The sequence below is a fragment of the Homo sapiens genome, chromosome 10 (assembly GCF_000001405.40).
Source record: "Homo sapiens chromosome 10, GRCh38.p14 Primary Assembly".
Lineage (NCBI taxonomy): Eukaryota > Metazoa > Chordata > Mammalia > Primates > Hominidae > Homo > Homo sapiens.
In genome coordinates, this window is record NC_000010.11 from 3,712,037 (window position 1) to 3,727,416 (window position 15,380).

General features: G+C 43.2%; 1 long non-coding RNA gene across 1 annotated transcript in view, besides 1 other annotated feature; it reads left to right on the forward strand.

Annotated features, from left to right (window-relative positions):
- Positions 1–15,380, forward strand: part of LOC105376360 (uncharacterized) — a 432,070-nt gene that overhangs the window by 393,342 nt on the left and 23,348 nt on the right. The gene's annotated exons all lie outside the window — the stretch shown is intronic.
- Positions 10,559–11,758: an enhancer, noted in NCBI's record as "BRD4-independent group 4 enhancer chr10:3764787-3765986 (GRCh37/hg19 assembly coordinates)". NCBI's record gives its function as "activates an origin of replication core promoter dependent on BRD2, P300/CBP, MED14 and CDK7 cofactors, and independent of BRD4, by STARR-seq in HCT116 cells {active_cell/tissue: HCT116}" and the evidence as "EXISTENCE:reporter gene assay evidence [ECO:0000049][PMID:35650434]".

Below are 15,380 nucleotides of genomic sequence, written 5' to 3' on the forward strand. Positions count from 1 at the left end.
TTATTGATTACTTTATGACTCATATTTTTCTTCTTCTTTCCATGCCTCATAAGTTCTGACTGAATGCTGGACATTGTGAACTTTGCACTGTTGAGTGCTGGATTTTGCTGTATTCCTTTAAAGAGTATTGGCCTTTGTTCTGGCATGCAGTTAAGTTATTGCAGATCATTTTCACTTTTATGAAATTTCATTTAAGTTTTGGTAATCTGGGTCAATAGCTTACTCAAGGACTACTTTAGCCCCACAGCTAAGGTATGTCCCTTCCTAGAACCCTCACCAATGCCTTGTCTGTTATGAGTGCTCTCCACTCTAGTCCACAGAAACTCTTCCTAGCCCTGAGTAAGGCCCAGAAATTGTTTTAGTTTGCTGCTTTCTGGAGACAGTTTCTTCAAACTGAAGGATGTGCAGGTCAGTACTCCAACAAAAATGAGGGGGACCCTCTGATCATCTGAAAAACTCTCTTTGGGTATTTCCTTCCTTAAAGAGCTCTGCCTCACACAGTTTAGCCCCCTTTGCATCCTGAAATCATTTCTGGGTCTTCACCATTCAGCACAATCTCCAGGCCTTGTTTCAATTTCCACTCTTTGAAAGGTGGCCTGAAAACTACTTTCAGGCACTGACCTGAGGCAATTTGAGAGCTCACCTTGTCTGTTTCTCTTTTGTCATAAATTTCTACCCTGGGCCACCAGTTATCCAATGTCTGAAGAGCATTGTTTTGTGTATATTTCACACAATTATACCGGGAGGGCATTCCTGTAGTCTTGATGCTTCATCATTTTAATGAATGTAAAATTTAGCATAATTAATGCCACACACACACACAGAGAGAGAGAGAGAGAGAGGGAGAGAGAGACAGAGAGAGAGAAAGAGTGAGAGAGAGAGAGAGAAAGAGAGAGAGAGAGAGATCTGCCAGGAGACACATATGGTCATACAAAGTATCTATCTTCCAGAAAGGACTTTCTCATTGACATCAAGTGCACTCACCAGCCTTGTATACAGAAGGCTTTCTCTGAATCAGACAGAAAATTCTAACCAGCTCTACAGGAGGCAAGGCCCTCCAAGAGGTGCAGAGAGATAGGACCATCGGTCTCCGGATCTCCTAACCTCAGGTCCTGCACCAATGACAGCGACAGCGGCTGGCTGAGTTTTAGGCCTTACTTATAAAGGGGCAGCGTTCCTCTGCATGAATCTTTGCCACTAACATCTCAAACTCCACAAATTTTAATAGTCAAAAACTCTTGCTATCATCTCTCATGCTAATAAACAATGCTAAATGGCCAACACCGATTAGGATTATCGCGTTTAGATTCTATTCTGATTAACTTACCCTACCAAGTTTATGTGCACAACAATTACATTATTTATAAGGAAGGAAGCACTTAATATATCACAGAAATACAATATAAAATGAATGAATGACACTAGGTATGTAGGTCTTCAAGATTAAAGAAAAATAAACACGTGGGGAGTGGTAGAATAATTGCATTATTATTTTCCCTCTAGTAACAATTAGCACTATACATCTTTCTCCTGATTCAAATGCAGTACATGGTGAATGAGTATTTTGACCTCAAACTGTCCAAATTGAAGATGGATAGATATTGCAGCTATATCCGCAGAAGTCGTGAGAGTTCTTCCTGGGGCCGGTTCTGGTAGAAATTCAGTGTCTCCTGCAATAGGATGGCCATAGTGGTGCATGTCTTTTGCTCATGGACCAGCAGGACAATCGCCATTTAGAGGGGATGCCCTCAGAGCTGTTTCTCCAGGAAGTAGATGTGTCTTCAGATTGAATAAGGAGATCAGTGTCTCTCTCACTTGGAGGCCCACAAAATGCAGCAATAAACCAAGGTAAATTTTTAAAGCATGTAACATTGCTTGCAGAATACATTGCTGTTTCTTTTTTCTGCCACCCACAGACATAAAATAGCAATTCATCTAAGAACCAGGAAAGACAACTAGATTTTCTTTCAGCCAAAATAGAAAGTTCTGGACAACACATGAGTAACTTACAGTATCAGTTTTATCTTGAGCTCCTTTTTCTACAACAAGATTAACCCCAGCAACGGTTTTGCTGCTTCCATAAGGGTTTTTTTTTTAATTGATTTTTTTTTGGTTCAATTCTGCTTCTTCTATAAGGTTGTTTTTAAAAATGTAAATTGGCAGGTCAAGGCAGGCGGATCACAAAGTCAGGAGATCAAGACCATCCTGGCTAACATGGTGAAACCCTGTCTCTACTAAAAATACAAAAAAAATTAGCCGGGTGTGGTGGCGGGTGCCTGTAGTCCCAGCTACTCGGGAGGCTGAGGCAGGAGAATGGTGTGAACCCGGGAGGCGGAGCTTGCAGTGAGCCAAGATAGCGCCACTGCACTCCAGCCTGGGCAACAGAGCGAGACTCCATCTCAAAAAAAAAAAAAAAAAGAAAAAAAAAGAAAATTGGCACTCTCTAAAACAAAAAATGTATAAAAACTTCAAAAACAAATATCCCTGAAAAAAAAAAAGTCATGGTCAAATCTGCTGTGGAATGAAAGAAATACCAGGGTAGAAAATAAGAAAGAGCTTTTCACTTTTACTAAGGACAGAGCCGTCTTCCCACACAGTACATGCCTCTAAATGGCAATGCCTGGTTTACAGTTCGGGTTTTTGCCTGCAGCTACTTTCTTCAGGAAAAGATAAACTCTGCGTCCTACTTTTACTTAAACCATATATAGACGAGTCTCACCAGGAGGCTTTTGAGGATTGTGAAACAGGACCGGAACATGCCTATTAGTGGATGTCTGGAGCGCACAGTGAGAAAATGCACATGCACCATTGCTTTCCCTAAAGCTACCATTCTAAAAATTATTATTAAAAGCTCAAAACCCACTTGGAAGATATGTTCATGCCTATTGACAGGCAACAAGAAAGTCAAATATAAATGTAATAAGCCTCCACCAGAAAGTGGGGGGAAGAAGTTTTGATCTCTTAGACCAAGATTTAATCAGGTTTTTGGTTTTTTTTAAGAACATAGGGAATGCATTCTGTTTATGATTTTCTCAGAATAGGTCTTTTTAATTTCAGAATGTATACATTTCTTAAACTTGGCCAGGCTATTAGTAATATCCGCTGTAAGTGTGGCATCACCACTCTCTCCCTTTGTACGCCCTAGAGGAAGAGAAACAAATGAGAGATCATCAAATCAACCTCACAATTACACAACCAATTATCTAAAAATGTTCAGAAGATGCTGGCACTAGATACCAAAGTTTTCAAGATTGATTCCTGGCTTTTTTGTGTGTCTGCAGGAGTGCTAACTTCCCTTTGAGGAAAACCAAGCAAGAGTCTCCATGAGGATAAGAAAAATGATGAGTAATATCAGCACGACTATGCCCTGAGTAAGGTGCCAGTGACATAAAAGAGACACATCACCCTCGTTTAGCAGAGTTAGAGGTGTCGAATCCTCCTTAAGTAGAATAGTGATTGTGGGATGCTAATGATTTTTTAAAATCTACACTCCTTGTTTTTCCTATGTCTTCTACATTTTCTGCACTGAGCATATGTTAGTGGTTTTATCTTTTCTTCTTTCTTTCTTTCTTTTTTTTTTTTTGAGATGGAGTCTTGCTCTGTTGCCCAGGCTGGTGTGCAATGGTACCATCTCAGCTCACTGCAGCCTCCGCCTCCTGGGTTCAAGTGATTTTCCTGCCTCAGCCTCCCTCCTGAGTAGCTGGGATTACAGGTGCCCACCACTGCACCCAGCTAATTTTTGTATTTTTAGTAGAGACAGGGGTTTCACCATGTTAGTTAGGCTGGTCTTGAAATACTGACCTCAGGTGATCTGCCTGCCTCGGCCTCCCAAAGTGCTGGGATTACAGGCGTGAGCCACTGTACCCGGCCATGATTTTATATTTTCAAAAGAAGAGAATCATGTTTAGTATGGGCAGGTGGAAAACAAAGAACATCCTTGTTTCCCAGATTGGAAATGGACATGAGTGGCAAGGCAGAGACCAGTTGCAGCCTCTCTAAGAATATCCTGACTCTGTCAAGTGAGCATCAGAAACCCAGCCTGCAGACACCCTGAGCTGGCCATAATGTGTAAAGCTGGTGTATCCTGTAAAGGTGCTTGGTAAATGCTCTTGTTAAAATCTGAACATGCATTCAGCCTGCAAATATGTAAAAGCAAAACAATATCCCCACTTATGCACTGATACAAATAGAGGGACGCACGTAGGTGATAAAATACTGAGTCAGACTTCCACGTCACTTGTAACCTGTGTCTGTGCCTGCAGAGGAAACCTCTGTGTGTGGGCTGTCCCATGTGTGTACGTGTGTGTCTGTGTGTGCATGCATCCACTCATGCATGCCTGCGTGTCTGTGTTGCTAAATCCCGAAGGCTGGTTAATGCTTGGGTAAACTCATTGTCTAAGGGAGCTCTAGACAGTGTTACCTTCAAAACGGAGCAAAGCAACCGACGCAGAATGTTCACTCATCTCAGAGAAATGAGGCACCAAAGCAAGAAGCGTTGAGAGTTGCTCTAGGGGCTGATAAACGGGTGAAAAAATTACCAATCTGCTCTTCTCAAGATGTGACCTGGACAGATTTGGAAGACGTGTGAAAAGCCAGCCAGCAGAATTGGACCTCAGCCACAGCACTTTTCCAGAGATAATCTTCAAAAACGTCTGAAACTCTATCAAATTCCCAGTTCTCCTTGCCCTAGAAATCCTCCTTTGAGCCCAAATTCACCTCTAAAAAGCGTTTGCTCCCAGGTAATGGTGTTCAGAAATAAGAGGAAGGTGAAGATGAAGGAAGGAGAATGTCTTGCCCCTTGGAGACGCACAGAAGCCCCAACTCTCAGCTGTCCGGAGCTGACTCTCATCTTGTAAACATTGCTTCTGAGAAGGACACTGCAGGCAGAAGTGCTTCTCTCCTTCCAGCCTCAAGGGTTCAGACCCTCTCCCCTTTCTGCGGTTCACTCATCCCTCACCAATGCAGGGCCCTGGAGCAGCAGGAAACGTGGGGATGGCATGGGTGGCTGTGCTCCCTCCCCGTGGCCCAGGGATCCTGCAGCGTAGAATCAGTCATAGAAAACATCTAAGTTTGTACAGATTGAGGATTTAACTGGGGTGTATTTTCCCAGAGGAGATAGTCATCAAAGCAACTGATCTATAGGAACGTTCGATAAATATTTCTTAATAAATAGAGTTGATACGGTATTAATCTGAGACATAGGCTCCTTTCATGGCAGGAAACCTTGCTGTACCTTAATTCTCCATTGAAGAGGTTCGTGCCCCTCTTTCTCTCATCTATTACTGCATTGATTTGTTCATCTAATCAACACGTACCAATGAGATCGCAGCCATGGGCAGGCCCCGGGTTAGAAGCCAGGATAAGTATTTACGGTGGAGAACATGAGAGGTGGGATACACAGGGGAACGCCCGTGCCTGAACCTAAGAGGTGTGACTCTACCAAGTGGGAAAGGCAAGCACGCATCATGCCAGTGCAAAATTACAAACAGAGACGACCAGCCGTTGAAGTCAAGACACACACATGTTGTGGCACCAGCGTATGGGGGCCTGGGCTAGTCTGGGCTACCACAAGAGCAGCATTTTCCTGAGGTCTGCAGAGTCCGCCCTTCTTAAGCGACATGGGCCCCAGAGAACAGGGCAAGGGACCCTGCAGGAGGAGGCCCCCCAAGGAGCCGAGAGAAGGACCCGAGAAGGAACCGGGACCTGAGAAGGAAAGGCTAAGGGAGAGATGGACTGAGAGGGCGTGGGGCCTCATCGCCACGTTAAGGATTTGGGTCTTCATCAAAAGATCATTGAAAAGCCACCTAAGCAGTTTAGACACAAGAGGGACTGAATGTGTAAAAGGCCACTCCAGCTGCAAGCGCAGTATGGGATGAAAATGAGCGCCAGAAACAGATGAGAGAAGGTGAGGTTCCACCGCGAATGCAGCCATGGAGACAGAGAACAATGTACAGGGTACAGCTAGGGAGCAAGATCGGGGGAGTTAGCAATGGACTGTGTGGGGCTGGGGAGAAAAAAGAGGGAGGGAGGGAGGGAAGGAGGGAAGTGGGGAGGGAGGGAGGGCCGGGGATGACTGCCGGATTTCTGGCATGAACAACTGCGCAGACTTCACTGTTCTGGCTATGATGGAGGCCCCAGAGGAAGTGAGGCGAACCAGGGTCTCGGGAGGACGGAGCCAGGTCTTGCTCTGGACGGGCCAAGGCTGAAGGGCTTTGATGTCCCCAGGTGGAACTGTCCACTTGTTAGCTGGATATACTTTCCTGAAGCTCTGAGAAGAGGTCTGAGCTTTAAGAAAGAAATGTAGGAACTCCGTGTGCACAGATGGTCCTGAAGACACATGTGGGATCTCACCCTTACCACAGGTGCAGTGAGACAGCCGCTCCACCTCTTCAAGCCTCAAGGCCTCACCTGCAGGTAGCCACACGCAGGGCTGTGTGGAGGACCGAGTGAGATCATGCCTGTGAAGTGCCCAGGACTGTGCCTGATTCACAGCAAGGGTTCCATGTTGCCTATAATGAACATTATCTCTAGAGACCACAGACTCTGATGGGCCAGGAACACGGGTGAGCCTGAGACTAGGCGGACGCATGGAGCTGGGACAGCCAGAGAAGTTCCCCCAAGAAGTCAGAGGAAGGAAAGTCTGCTGATGCCTACTGGCTCCTCATCTATGTTCATTGTGTCATAGCTGCTCTCAGAGCCTTGTCCAACCTTTACCAACAACCTCATGCCATGGCCACTGTTGGGTCTGGTTTGCAGGTGAGGAGCTAGAGCTGGCATAAATTACCCAAATCCTACACACAGAGGGGCCAAACCCAGAGATTCAACCTTGTCCATTTGACCCCAAGTCTTGAGCTCTTGCTCTACATCCCCTTATTTCCCAAGGGAGTAGATTAAGAAGCAGCACCATGAGCTAAAGGCATGGATGCTAGAAAAGCTTCAGGTAAATTATCAGGGGATGGCCGACAAGGAAACCTATAGGAGCTTGGGGACAGGGAGGTCCAGGGAGGCTGGTTGGGTTCAGGGAGGCTGGTCCTCAGACAGATGGGAGCAGAGAAAGGGAGAGCCCTGTGGGGCAGGGGCCAGACTGATTACAAGACAGGGGCCCGGCAGGGAAAGGCAGGACCCTGGGGTGGAAGGAGGGGCCTGGACCTGGAGACAGGGGCTGTCATGTTGGCCTGGGGCCCGAGGGTGAGTGGAGGCTGGGCCAGCACGCTCCTCCACTCAGGGGCCTGTCCAGGGTCTGTGAGGTGTGAAAGGGCACCTGACAATGGGCGTCCAGGGACTGCAGAGAAGGGCCCAGGTCAGGCCTCAGGCTGCTGGTCACAAAAGGCCTCGTGTGACTCAGATGTCCGCTTGCTCCTGGACGGCTTTCTCAGGCTGGGAACGAAGCAGCTGGGCAGCTTCTAGTTCTACCTGCAGAGTCACTTTCTCGTGTGTTTGTTTCATGTCTTCTGAACGGCGGGAGCTGCGAGGGCTACTGGAAGTTGAGAAGTTATTCTGCTGGGACGTGGCCATGCCCGGGAACCAGTAGCTCCGTAACAGCACCTGAGCCTGCAGCCTGCCAAGCCCCTGGCGGGAGGAGGAGAGCCTTCAGGGATTCCCCAGGAAGCCACCTGAGCAGGACTAGGGTGGAAACATCGGAGAGTGAAGGAACAGCCTCTCTCTTGGGAGGAGTGTGATCAAGAGGAATGAGGAGAAGAATGAGGTCATGAATCCCAACACAGACAGGCAAGTACACAGGTCCAGAGCCAAAGAGACAGAGAGACAGAGAGAAAGAGAGCTGGCCCCAGTGTGAACAGACCTGAGCCAGTGCAGACGTATCCCTGGTTAAGGTATAGACAAATGCAGCCGGGCGCGGTGGCTCATGCCTATAATCCCAGCACTTTGGGAGGCCGAGGCAGGCGGATCACGAGGTCAGGAGATCGAGACCATCCTGGCTAACATGGTGAAACCCTGTCTCTACTAAAAATACAAAAAACTAGCCAGGCGTGGTGGCAGGTGCCTGTAGTCCCAGCTACTCGGGAGGCTGAGGCAGGAGAATGGCGTGAACCCAGGAGGCGGAGCTTGCAGTGAGCCGAGATGGCACCACTGCACTCCAGCCTGGGGGACAGAGCGACACTCGGACTCAAAAAAAAAAAAAAAAAAAAGAAAAGAAAATGTATAGACAAATGCTTATCACCAGAAGAAACTGAGATCTTTCATCTAAAATTCAGAATTCCAGGCATTTATAGTGATTTTTAAGAAAAAAAAAATTATTAAAATAGTGATTCATCCCCCAAACCAATTTATTATTCTTAATGTCATTAAAAACCACACACACACACAAAAAGACTGGAGACTCAGCCCAGGACAGTGAGCATAGTTAGAAAGAAAGCCACTTGAGCAGGACCGGGTAGAGGTTAACTTCCAACCACAGCTAAAGATGCCAGATTGTCATTCCAGTTCAGTAAAGCCCACCTCAAACTGTATTTATTGATTCATTTCACAATAATCTGCTACTGTATTCAACACTCTAAGGGAGTGAGGAGTTTACTTGATTCAGCGGTAAACGCAGAGCTCTGGTAGGAGGTATTAATACTACTTATCAGCAAAGGTTACTAGCTTGCAAAATGTTTGAATCATGTTACCACATGGTTACCAAAGCTGAGTTATGAAATGCCAGGGGCTGACTCTGGGTGCACAGCACTTACGTAAGTCACTCTGCACAGGGCGCTGGAGGAGAAGTTGAGTTCTATTACAGGAAGCAGAGGAAGTTTCAGCAGACAGTCACTTGCCAATTTGAACAGTCCAAACACATGGTCTTCCAGTTTACATGCCCAGTGGTTTCTAAATAATTCACATGTCAGCTGCACAGACACATTGATAGTGTCATGGGTTTTGATGGGTTGGCCCAAATCCCATCATGAGTACAGTTCCATGTTCCCCCTGAAACTGGCGACGAGAAGTCCTCCCGGGGGAAGGCAGACAAGGGCAGCAGTGGAGTTTTGGGGTTGAGACTGAGCCAGAAAGCAAAGTGCCACTTCTGCCCATATGATGGTGAGATTTTGGAAGATTCCAAGTCTGAGAGACTGGGTCATATTGAGAGAATCGTGGAAATCATTTGGAAACCGGGCAGTGGGGAGGGAAGGATAAAGCCGTCTTCCATTTAAAAGGGAAACAGATACAATCTGAATGTATCTCCCCGGTTTGTCTGCTAAGGAGAGACACTCTTGTCTGCCGATAAAGAGCTGAGAGCCTCAAGTAGGTCAAAAATAAAGAAAACAAATTGAAGGTGAGATTGATTCATGACACATGTGTTACAAGGTCTGGTGGGAGCCTCTACTTTTTCTGGAGGATAAAACCATCAAAGCACACTGCCCCCGTTTCATCACACCACTTGCGTATTATAGAGACACAATCAGTTCTCAAAATCCCTAATTTGGGCATTTTGTGCCTCAAAAATATTTGTTCCCTTAGTATTCAATGTGGCACCATAGTACGAGTGCAGGTGTTTTGAATTTACACCTATCCTAGCTTTCACTTCTGATCCAACTCATGGGTTTGGTACGTCTGCTTAGCAGTACAATTTCAACGACTAAAATTGTCCGTCTCTATTGACTATGAACCATGCAAAAGGACGACCACTGGATGGTTTTCACCACAGCTGTGGCCACAGTGGCTGGAGAGGTGGTCCACCCTAGAAGACCCTAGGAAATAGCAGGCTGATGACACTGAACACATCAGTTATGTGAAAGGTGTGCGTGCATGGTGAGCCAGGAGGCTCAGTCCTGGGAGCAAAAAGACATTATAATCTTTAAATCAGAAGTAATTCCAGGAGCTTTCAACTGATAAAGGGGCTATCTTATGACATGAATAAATAACTAGACATAGTAACAACAAAATGATATTTTTCTTACTCAGGTGATCATCTTCTTATTCAAACGTGTATGTCAGAACCTGACTTAGGGATGGGAAGTTAGAAAATAAAATGAGAAAAGTGGAAAGCTGATTTCCTGCAGCCTACTTCCATCATTAACTCTTGGAGGCTTGACAATCCTTGTTGGAAAGCAGTCACCCAGGCAGTAAACGCTGACTAATTGATGTGTTAATAAAAGTGGACATTGTGTAACATTCCTAATATGTTAATAGTGTGGTTTGCAAAACATTTTAAAATTACTTTAATGAAATATTTGATTAAACGTAGGTTTAATTTAAAATTTCACATTTTTAATCAAGGAGGATCAGTAATTAGCCTGGAGGCTTGAATCGAGAGCATATGTATAATTTCTGCAAATAAAGAGAGTGCACCAGTGTTCCTAGAGGGTCCTGTGTCATCGACCTGTGTATGTGTGAATAACTACACATTTTTGGTGCTGTGGGATTCACTGGTAATTGCATTGCAGACCAATTAAGAGAGTATTTATAGTCCAAATTAACCTGATAATCAAGAATCCCCATACAATATTGATCTCTCTTAAGAATTTTCTGAATGTAGGTAGGTGCTCTAACCAGCTTCTTGAAGAAGTGTTCAGAAGCCAGAATCAATGAATTCGGCGGTAATATTTCCCCCTAGAAACGTGGGCCATTTTCAATTTTTGCATGCGCAGAGTAAATGCTCAGCAAAAGATTAATTACTTGAGTATTTCATCGATATTCCTATAGACAGAAGGTATTTACGGAGGGCCTGAGCATGCATTCTGTAGAGTCCGATAGGTGGGATGTCTTCCCTCACCCATCACAAGGGTCATAGCAGAGACTCCTAGAACAAAAGACAGGTTAACAGGAGAAAAGCATAATAGGCATAATATTTAGTCCAAATTTTACATGACACGAGATCCTTCAGAAATGAAGAATCAAAGGCCCAGGGAAAACTGTGTCTTTTTACACTTAGGATGGATGGAAGCATGGACAGACATGTAGGAATGTGATGGGACAGAAGACTGTGATCTAATGGTGAGAGAGTGAGGGTAAGCCCAGCAAGACCCACCTGTTCCTGTTCTCCATGGCTTCTCCATTTGTGTTCCTTACCTCTCAGGAAGAGGGCAGGACTCCTCTGGAATGAGGGTCTCCGAGGAGGAAGAGAGACAGTGACCTTTCTAAGTTTCATGGCTGGTTTTGGGGAGAGGAATTCTAGTGCCCATGACCCACCTTAGGGAAGGGGAATTCTGTTTTCTATGACTCACTTTGGGGCAGAAAGAGGGCAGAGAGAGACATGAGGGCAGGAGAGGGTCGGAGAGACCTGGCGTAGGCGGCCTTCCCATTTCCTCCAGCTCAAAGCACTTGACATGCTCTGGCGCCATACTTTGGGGTCTTGTTTTCTGAGCCTCACAATTCTGAGAGATTCTGCACACGGGTCACCGAAGGTCATCCTCACAGACTCCCCTAAAGTGACCTATTATTATCACCATAACAGACATGGAACCTGGGACTCAGTCCTCAGGTGATTGTCCAGAATGGGGAGCGGGCCATTCTGGACAATCTGTACCATGGCCACAGAATGTAAACAGAAAACTCATTCATTCATTCACAACTCCAGACATTCTTCTTCAACATGGATCTTGGCAAAAAATGGGGTCTTCAATTCAGATTAAATAAAGGAAATGAAATACAATTATTTTTAAGTTATGAAGACATCTTAAATTTTTACTTAAGGCTAAAATGTCATTTTCTTATACAAGACATAAGCATTTGATGTTTGTCAAGTTCACAGTTAACTACTCAGGGGTACAGATTGCTTCTTGTTAAAGACACCACTGACTGAATATTTTAACCACTCGAATAGAAATTTCTACATTTTATCGGTGTCTGCCAAACCAAAATACCCCAACGGAATTCCTTTGAAATCTCTGGGAATGCATTATTGGAGTGGGTGTCGATACTAACTTTTCACATAAATCTACTCACCCTCAAGTTAGGATATTGGACATATGGTTTGTGGAAATATTTGAAGCATTTGCATAAGACATGCAAGTTTTGGAAGAATGACCATTTTAATCAGGCTGACTAACTGAGATGAGAAGAGGGAGGTGTGACCATCTGTTTAGCTTCATCTTGATTTTATTTAGCACCTGCAAAAAAAATAGATTTGAGCCACTTCTGAACGAAGAAAATATGGAGAACCTGTCTAGGACTGTCTCCTGTGCCCTTCTTCAAGGAAAGGAAAGGTCAAGTTACAAACAAATTATACACACACGCTGTGCACATGTGCACACATGCACATATACACAAACCCTACACCTTTTGAAATCTAAGATCTGTAGTTCCATAGTTCACTTGATAACTACAGGTCTTAATTTTAGCACTCTAAGACAACACTCAATACATATGCTAATATTTGCCGATACCTATAAAGGCCAAAAGAAACAAAAAGTAAAGTTATTATGTGTAGGAATGACAGAGGATTCTGAACTGAGAGAGGCAGTTATATAATTTGCCAATTCCTAAGCTGTTTATATAAATGGTTATAAATGGATATACTGTGTTGCCTAGGAAGGTTATAGCTCTCTAAAATGATATTAATATGACATGAAAATAAAGCGATAAAATTCCAAGCTATATTTCAATGCATAAATAATGCTAGAATATAGTTGACACTCAGTAATATCAACAAACAAGTGAAAAAATTCCTTACTAGTTTTTTGGTAGTTTTTTCTGACAAATAAATTTGAACTTAAATGTATTTTCTTTATCAAGATTATCCTAAGACTTTTGTGCTGCAGTTTTTGAGATAAATCATTTGATAGATTTTCTGATGTTGAAATTTTCTCTTACTCTTGACCAAACTCTCTTTGGTGACTATGATTTTCCTCTTCTCACTCTGGACTCTTATTTACATTCTTATTCTCTCTCTGTCTGCTCCTCATCCTCCTCCTGTTCTCTCTCCATTTCCCTTTCTCATCTCCTCTCTCTTTTTCCTTCATCAGTCTTGATATTATTAATATTTTTAAAAACTCAGCTTTTGGAATTTTGAATTATTCTCTTTCGTGATCATTGGTTGTTCCTATGGCTGCCGCCACCCTGTTCCTGTACTTCTCTATTGTATCGATTTCTGTTCGCATTTCTCTTTCTTATTTTTTATTTTGATCTGATGCTTATTTTTTTCCTTGCTGATTTTTGGAATTTAAAATTCAGCTTACTTGTTTTCAGTCTTTTGTATTTATAGTTAAACTTACAACTTTCCAACTAACTACGGCTTTATTCAATAAAGTAATTAGTTTTGGGACATACTGTTCTATCATCAATTAGATCCAGGTGAATAATAGAGTTATTTAGATTCTCTGTGTCGTGACTAATTTTCTTCCAGTTGGTTCTGTCAGTTGCTTGAAAAAGGATTTTTAAATCTCCTACTATGTTTGTGAAATCTTCTCTTTCTCCCTCTAATACTATTTTATCTTTATGTATTTTGAGGCTTTATTTTTAGGTGCATAGAGATTTATATTTGTTATAGCCTTCTGATGAATTGGTCTATTTATCAATGTGAAATTTTCTTATCTTTGGTAACAATTTTGACTGAGTTTGCTGTTAATACAGCAACTTCAGCCCTCAAATGCTTCCTGTTTAGATACTATATTTTCCATTCATTAATTTTTGAACTACTGTAAGTACATCATCTTTTATAAACAGCAAATAGTCAGGTGTCTCTGCTTTTTAAGTGGACCGTTCAGTCCATTATCACAAAATTGAATAAAAATAAGCCTATCATTTTATCATTTCTTTGTCACCCCTCTGTGTTTTGTTTCTCTCTTCCCTCCTTCCTGCCTCCTTTTAGATTGTGTTTAAATTTTATTTTAACTTATCAGTTGCCTTTTTAGCTGTGTATCTTTGCATTTTTGTAATGATTGCTCTAGGGATTACAATATACCTGTTCTCGTAGTCTACTTAGAGTTAATACCGTACCACTCTACAGAAGAGAGAGAAATCTGCAAACATATTAATTCATTTACCCTCTCCAGCTGTATTATATGCTAAGGGCATCTTACATATGACATATATGTTATAAATCCCACCGTGTTACATATATATATTATAAAGACCATGTTAGATTTGCTTTAAATGACTACATGATTTTTAAAAAACGGAGAAATCATGCTTTTTATGTTTGCCTCACAATTTTCTCATTTCTGATGCTTATCACTCATTCCTGAAGATCCACATTTCCTCCCATATCTCTTTCCTTCAGTTTCAAAAACTTCTTTCAGCATTTCTGGAAGTGCAGGTCTAATGGCTGCCGATTCCTTTCATTTTTTTTTTTTTGGAAAATGTTTTTATTTGTATTTCATTTAAGAAGGATATTTTTACTGAACTTTCAATTCTGGATTAACAGGTGTTTAGTTTTTTTTAAATTTGGGCAATTTAAAAAGTTTTGGGGCCATCTTGTTGCCTCCATGGCTTCCGATGAGAACTCAATAATAATTAAGATAATCAATCCCCTGTGTATAATTTGTCATTTTTCCCTGGTAACCCCAGGGTTTCCTCACTATCTTTGGTTTTAGCAGTTTGTCCATAATATGCCTAGTCAAAGCTTTTTTTTTATTTTATCCTATTTGAGGTTCACTAACGTTCTTGAATATGTCAATTTGCATCTTTCCCCATTTGGGATGACTTTGAGCATGATTCCCTCACTATCTTTTCTGCCTCATCCTCTGTCTCCTGTGTCCTGGGGTCCCTCATGTGTGTTCTAGCCCCTTCTCCCTCAAGACTCCTCTTCACATAAGCTAGACTTCTGAAATCATCTCAGGGTTCCCTAAAATTCCATCCTTTTTTTTCTTTCTCACATCCTCAGATTCTGTACCATTTACGGATCCATCTTCCTGTCCACTGGCCCTTTTTACTGCCGGCCCTGCTCTGCCGTTAAGTTCTTCCAGTCAAGTTGTTCATGTAGACGTTTTGTCTATGCACTCTTAATTTTCCACTTGGTCATTTTTATGGTTTCTTTTTTTTTTGAGACAGAGTCTCACTCTATTGCTCAGGCTGGAGGGCAGTGGCGTGATCTCGGCTCACTGCAGCTTCCACCTCCTGGGTTATAGTGATTCTCCTGCCTCAGCCTCCCAAGTAGCTGGGATTACATGCACACACCACCAAGCCCAGCTGATTTCTGTATTTTTGGTAAAGACAGGGTTTCACCATGTTGGCCAGGCTGGCCTCGAACTCCTGACCTCAGGTGATCCGTCTGCCTCGGCCTCCCAAAGTGCTGGGATTACAGGCGTGAGCAACTGCACCTGGCCATTTTCTATATTTTTTAGTGACATTTCCTATGTTTTCATTTGTCATGAGTGAATTTTCCTTTGCCACACCAAGCATAGTTTTGATAACTATTCATGTTCTTGTCTGATCATTCCAACAGAGGTCATCTCAGGCCTCATATCGATTGACTATGTTTTCCCCTGAGATGAGGTCACATT